The sequence below is a fragment of the Homo sapiens genome, chromosome 9 (genome assembly GCF_000001405.40).
Source record: "Homo sapiens chromosome 9, GRCh38.p14 Primary Assembly".
NCBI lineage: Eukaryota > Metazoa > Chordata > Mammalia > Primates > Hominidae > Homo > Homo sapiens.
The window spans coordinates 108565185-108572635 of record NC_000009.12 but is presented as its reverse complement, the minus strand read 5'-3'; the positions used below and the strand labels follow the sequence as shown (position 1 = coordinate 108572635).

Genomic DNA, 7451 nt, shown 5'->3' with positions numbered 1-7451 from the left:
TTTGTAAATTCAAAAAAGTTAGTCATTTACCTATGATATGTATTGCAAGGATTTTCCCCAGATTGCTTTTATTTTGACTTAAAAAAGGCAGATGTAGCAATTTTTATGTAGTCTCACATATTAGTTTTTTGTTGTTTTTGTTTGTGTTTTCTGTCATAGTTAGAATGACTGCCTTCCCTACTTTGAAAATGTAAAAAATGATTCTTCTTTGTTCTAACATTTTTAAATGTTATTCTTTCATGTTTAAATCTTTGACACACCTAGAATTTATCTTCATGGAAGATGTGAGGTATGGATCCAACTTTATTTTTCTTTCCAGATGCCTTCCTAGTTGGGAAAACATCATTTATCAAAAAATTCTTCTCCAACCCACTGATTTAAAATGTTACCTGTCTTCACATGTATCCCAATATACATTTGTATTTATTTTGAACTTTCTTCTCCATTTTTTTTTTTCTTGGGACAGAGTTCCACTTACTCTGCTGCCCAGGCTGGAGTGCAGTGGCAGAATCTCTGCTCACTGCAACCTCCGCCTCCCGAGTTTAAGCGATTCTTCTGCCTCAGCCTCCTGAGTAGCTGGGATTACAGGTACACACCACCATGCCAGGCTCATTTTTGTATTTTTAATAGAGAAGAGGTTTCACCATGTTGGCCAGGCTGATCTCGAACTCCTGACCTCAAGTGATCCACCCTCCTCAGCCTCCCAAAGTGTTGGGATTACAGGCGTGAGCCACCGCTCCTGGCCTCCTCTCCATTCTATTGATCAACCTGTTCTTGAGACTATCTCACATTATTTTAATTTTTAATAGATTTTAAAACATTAAATACCTGGTAAGGCTGGTCCTACTCATTACTCTTTTCTCCCCTGCCCCCAGACATTTTTTGTATTACTCTTATTTATTTCCTATGTAAATTTTAGAATATTCTTGTCTGGTTAAAAAAAAAAAATCCCATTGTTATTTTTTATTGAAAATGTATCAAATTTGTAGGTTGATTTAAGATAACTGATTTTTAAAAAGTGATATCAAGTGTTCTTATTGAACAGCATAGCATGCCTTCTGCTTGCTTTCTCTTTTTCTGAGTAGCATTTAAACATTTTTTGTATGTAGATCATGTAGGTCTGTTTTCCTCATGTTGACCTTGTCTATTGCTAGGTCTTTTATCTTGTTTTTGTATCATACATGGGGTTTTCCTTTTATTAGATTTTCTAATTGGCTCTTGTTTGCATATATGAAAGTCATTGGTTTCAGTATATTAATTTTGTATTCATCCACCTGAAGAATTTTCACATCGTTTCTAAACATTTGTCAATTGCTTTTCTTGAATTTTCTTTTCTTTTTGTGGGGAGGGGTATTTCTTTGGTGCTTACATGAAACGTCATGGTGGTGTTGAGACTGAAATTTCTGTTTCAATGCTATTCGCTTTGGCATGATTAGTGCATTTAATATCAACAGGGAGAGTTCACGATGTTTTCCAGGGGAAATATTTTTGATTATTTTCATTTCTCTGATGCCACCGCCAAAAACTCAAGAATTTATAAATCCTGAGGTTTAAGCTTATTGTTTACCTTGGATTGTCTAAGCAAATAGTGATATTATCTGCAAGTGTTAATGAATTTATTGCCTCTTTTTTATTTCTTAACATCTATTATTTCTATATCTTAGCTATTGTGCTGGCAAATAGCTCCAAAATAAGTGTAAATACTAATGATGGTAAAGAACTACCTTGTCCTATTTCTGACATTGATGGAAATGCTTCTTCTGTTTTCCTGAAAAGTATGATGCTGCATTTTAGGTTGGGATATAGCCTTTGTACCATTGAATAAGTATGCATTTTTATTTATTTATTTTTTGTTGTTTTTTTGAGACTAAGTCTCGCTCTATTACCCAGGCTGGAGTGTGGTGGTGTGATCACAGCTCACTGCGGCCTCCATTCCTGGACTCAAGTGATCCTCTCACCTCAGCCACCTGAGTAGCTGGGACTACAGATACGTACTACCACACCTGGCTAATTTTTGTATTTTTTGTAGACGTTGGGTTTTACCATGTTGTTGAGGCTGGTCTTGAACTCCTGAGCTCAAGTGATCTGCGTGTTTCCGCCTCCCAAAGTGATTACAGGCATGTACCACCACACCTGGCATATTCTTATTTTAAAAATAGTTTTCTTGGGTTTTGGATTTTCCAAACACCTCTCCAGTGTTTATAGGGATGAGCACATGATTTTTCTTTTTTGATCTATTAATATGATGAATTATATTAAACTGTATGTGAAATCATATTCCTGGTGTCTAGTATGTGAAGGATTTCCTCTGCAAAACCTTACTCTTGTTTTTACTACACTACCGGCTAGCTTTCTGTGAACCTTGGAGGTGGATTATCTAGGGTTATGCATATGTGGTTATATTGTTTGTTTGCTTGCTTTCTCTTTTTACTCTCAGGTTTCCTTTTGTCCCCGAATGGTACTCTTAGATCAAGCTGTTGGGGTGGTTTTTAGTTCAAGCCTGATGTCTCCTACTAGAGCAGCTCATTTTCTGTGGCCCTTGGCAAACTCTGCTCTTCAGTGCTCAGCTAGAAAGACAAGGAGGGTGAGGATGTGGACATCTGATTTTCTGCTTCTGACAGCACAGAGCTGCTGGGGGCTCCTTCTGACTTCCCTGGCAGGAGGCACCCAACATCAGTCTTTACACATGTGCCAGACCAGTTGCCTCACAATAGAGCCCTAGTCAGCAGCTGGCCTCCCAATACTGCCCAGGGCAAGACCATCATCCACTGATTCAGTGAGTCACAGCCCGGGATGAGGACTTGGCCAGGCTGGTCTAACACACATCCTCAGCAGTTTCTCCAGGTGCCGAGTCAGCCCAGCTGCTGGCCTTCTGTGTGGCCGGTGCTCCTATAGTGTGGAGTCATGCCTCCTCAAGTCCTTTTATCTCCCCATCTCAGGCACAGACCTGGGGCCATGGTGGTTTTACAGAGGCAGCAAAGATCTCACCCTGGGAAGTCTCATTCTTGCAAATGTGACAAAGTGTCATTTCAATATGATCCAACCAATAGTCGTTAGCTTCTATTTATCAGCTCAATGCTGGGTGCAGAAGGGGAGAGTAGTAAGATGAACATGACCACCATTACTTTGATGGAGTGCTCAATTAAAAGAAAGCCCTGATTATAGAAATGGAACAAACCTGGGTTCAATAAATTCTGAAATGCTGTGGACTAACCTTTCTGCTGGCAGTCTCTCTAATCCTTCCTTCGCCCAGTTTCCAGAGAGATCTCTAACATCATAATGCCAATCCTCTTCTTAAATATCTCTTCTTTGCTTTCAGGAGAAACTTCAGATTTAGTCTGGAACACGTGGCCCTGCTGTGCAGAGACTGGTTCTAGTCCCATTGACCCAGTTCATCTTCCTCTAGCCTCCTTTTATAGACACCAAAGCCCCATTATCTGAAGACAGCACACTTTCACCTCTGTGTCTTGGACAAGCTGGTTCCCCTGTTTAGAATGCCCTTCCACACGCCTTTTTTTTTTTTTTTTTGCCTGATCATCGCCTGCTCATCTCCAAAGACTCAGGTCAAATGCCCCTCCTTTGAAACTTCCTCTCACAGCCCTTCCCACATTTGATTCCTCTCTTCTCTCTAAGTCTCAGAGGTGCCATGTTCACCTTTCTCCTTAGCACCTTCCACCACATCCTATAAATCCTCTAGTCTAGTGGTTTCCAAAATTGGATGTTGGAAGAATAGGATAGAACTCTCATCTCAATTACATGAATATTTTTTAATGTGCCTAATATGTTGTTACAATAGTAAACATGTATATTTGGTGACTAATAAATATGCCTATACTGTGGTTGTGTGCTCAAAAGTTGTTTTACTGATCGGGGTTAATAATCTGAAAAGTTTGAAGGTCATTGCTCCAGTAGTTAGATCCTGGAGGGTATGAGCCCTATCTTATTTGTAGGAGCTCAGTAAAAATTGGTTGAATAAGTAAATGGCGTCTATATGAGCACAGTGATGACAAATGCTTTAAATGACTTACAAGCAAGATGCCAATGGTAGAAAGAGGGAAAACATGATTGTGCATTAGTTCAGAAGTCAGAGAGTCCTGGATTCAAATTATTCATTTAGGAGAGATTCAGAATGCCCACTGGATTATCTTAGATATGTCATCCATCTTCCTAAACTATAGTCAGCAAACTTTTCATGTAAAGAGCCAGATCGTAAATATTCAGCTTTGGAAGCTGTATAGTTTCTGTAACTACTTAACCCTGCCAAGGCCAAAGACAGTATGTAAACAAATGTGCATGGCTGTATTCCAAAAAGACTTTATTTACAGAAACAGGTGATCATCCGGTTGGCCTGGGGGACATAGTGTACTGATCCCTGTTCTAGATATTAATTCCTAGCTGTGCAATCTTTGTGTCACGTGAGATACCTTTGCAACATGCCTAGCTCATGTCTGGGGATGAGTTATTGTTAAATAAGTGCTTCAAAATCTCAATAATAATTTGTTCTGATTTTGGGTCTTGCAAGAAAAGAGATGTTTGAGTTCAGTCTTTAGCCATGAGTCCCCCAGACAGGGGAGAAAGATGGGGGAAGAGACTAGAGAGGGCATAGTTAAGGAAAGAGCATGTGTAAAGGCCCCGATGTCCTGCTGAGGGGGCCCTGGAAACTACCACAGCATTCTTTAGGTGATGGTATGATAGATACAGTGAGGGGTAAACAATAGACTTCCTCTGCCCTAGTGATAAAATAGAGACAATAGAAACCTCCCTTCCTGCAGTGAGAATCAGAGAAATTGTGACATCTAACACCCCATGCTTGTCATGCCTACCTTGGCCATGCCCTCTGACCTGCTGCGTTATGTCTTTTGATCCTGACCTCCACCTACTGTCTGATGCCAAGACTGTTGGCTTCTCTGCTTTGCTGAACTGGATTTCCTCCCAGACCATGTGTTTAGGGGAATTTGCTCCCCATTCTGAGCTTTAACCTATCTCAGTAGACATCTTGTCCCACTCCACTGGATAAAAATTGGTGGCTTTATAGCATCTAAAGCCTAGGAGAAATCAGATTTCTTAACAAGGATTCTTAATGTGCCATCTGTGGAGCACCTGGAATGAAATCACCTGGAAGTGTCTATTAAAAATTAAAAATCCTGGGCTCCATCCAAAGCACTGCAGTCAGGATCTTTGCTTGGGGCCCATTTGAAAGTAGCTTCCCAGGTGATTCTTACACATACCAGAGTAGGAGACTTGCTGCTGTTCTGACTAAAGCATTAAAATAAATTTTAAAGTCCTATCTTTTAGTTTCTGTAAGCTGACCCTTAGCTCTTTAAAAAGTGCAATTGGCAAAAGATGGAAAATTACACCCCCCACCAATGAATAGATTTGAGTCTGTGTGGGCTTCAAATTGCAAGACTCTTCTGAGATGCCCCTTATTAAGACACCCTCTCCCCAGGTAGAACCTGCATACAGCACTTCCCCAGGTAGAAAGCTCCTAGGAGGCTTCTCTCTTTGCAACTTCCTGACTTGCTTCCCGCCACCTCCCCTGGTCTTCCCGGGATGGAGACTGCACCAGGAGGTTTCCTGGTTGGAATCTCCACAAGGAGTTAGAATCCACCAACAGGTCTTCTTCTCCTAACAGCCTCTTTAAATTGAGGATTGGGCATGGTGGCTCACGCCTGTAATCCCAGCACTTTGGGTGGCCGAGGCAGGTGGATCACAAGTTCAGGAGTTCAAGACCAGTCTGGCCAATATAGTAAAACCCCATCTGTACTAAAAATACAAAAATTAGCCTGGCCTGGCGATGTGCGCCTATAGTCCTAGCTACTCGGGAGGCTGAGGCAGAAGAATCGCTTGAACCCGGGAGGTGGAGGTTGCAGTGAGCAGAGATCGCGCCACTACACTCCAGCCTGGGTGACAGAGCGAGACTCTGTCTAAAAAAAAAAAAAACACAAAATGATGACTGGGTTAGGGAGACACTAATGACCCATCTCAGGAATTCTCTGCTTTAGTGACCTTTCAGTTAATCCAGTGGACCTAGAACTCTTTTCAGTGGGATGTGAATTCTATCCATTCCGTTAGAAAGTCGAAGCCACACATTTGAAAGGTAGTTTTGTCATCTTCATGATCATAGGACTCAAAATCACAAAATTAGCTTCCATGTATTTAATCAGTGAATTATTTTTCATTGTCCATGTACCACGTGTGTCATGACCCGCATAACAAGGAATATGTGTGTGTGTGTTTGTTTATTTTCATGATCGTGGATGTTTGTGACAAATGTGCTAATTCACACATTAGTGATCTCATTGATATAAAAACTTTCTGGTAATGTAGAGGGCTGGGTTATTCTCCTCATCTTTCAAATGAGTAAACTGAAGCACAGGAAATTAAATGACATGTCCAGGGTCTGATGACTGGCACATTGCTGAGCTCACACACAGGGCCCACATACAGGTTGCTGATTCTCAGTTTGGGCCTGGTTCCACTTCCACCCTGGACTGTCTATCCAAATAAAATCAAAGACTTGTAGATACCCTAAGAGATGAAATCATGGGACATTCTGCAAGGAAAGAACATCCAAATAATAAAATGGCTTGGGGTTCTGGCACACAAGGAAATCTCTCAGCTACAGCTGGGCACAACTATGTCTTTATGACACTCCCCCGGAAGAGCCACAGCAACCACTAGATGGCAGTGTATGAACAGTAACAGGGAATAGGTTCCTGCCCTTGGTTTTTGAAGAATATTCTGGGATTACCATGGGGAAAGCCTTGGCAAGGACATCCCAATGGAATTAACCTTCAAAGAACAATGCATTTGGAGATCTGTTGTGACTTTGGGCTTCAGCCCGAGGCAAGATGGCCATGCTTTGGTACTTTAAGAGCTAGATCAGCAGTTCTGATTCACTTGGTTCAGGGTGGGGCCCACATATCCATGTTTTGTTAACATTTCCCAGGTGCTCCAGTGTGCTTCCAGCATTGATAGTCTGTGCTAGATAGAGTCCATCCACCCCTGGGTTGTAAGAACCGAATGCAAACAGCACAGTGTGACCTCCTAATGTTGTTCCAGGCATAGGATAGGCCACTGAGGCTGCAGAAATGAACGAGACATGAAGACATGGTCTCTATACTCAGGAAGCCACAGTCCCAACAGAGCTGAGATTTAAAATCCCAAATAGGGTCTAGGCATGTTGTGGAGTGTTTCTGCAGTCGAGTTCCTACTCTGCCTTGTATGGCCTTGAGTAAGTCACTCGTCTGCTTCATGACTCACTTTTGTTTAATGGGTTTTGATGGGATGCTTTCTTGGGACAATGAGGACAATAAAATTGGTGCCTTCAAAGATCTGTAGAGCAGATCCTTTGAAGGGCAGTATATTTTCTTAGTCAACTTCTGTGTACCCAGGAGCAATCTGGCTGTTCTGGGGAGAAATGGGTTACCTTGGCCTGGCATTAGCACAGC

General features: G+C 41.6%; 1 annotated feature.

The window, feature by feature from the left end:
* Nucleotides 6590-6709: an enhancer, noted in NCBI's record as "active region_28756". NCBI's record gives its function as "activates an Ori minimal core promoter by ATAC-STARR-seq in GM12878 lymphoblastoid cells {active_cell/tissue: GM12878}" and the evidence as "EXISTENCE:reporter gene assay evidence [ECO:0000049][PMID:35858748]".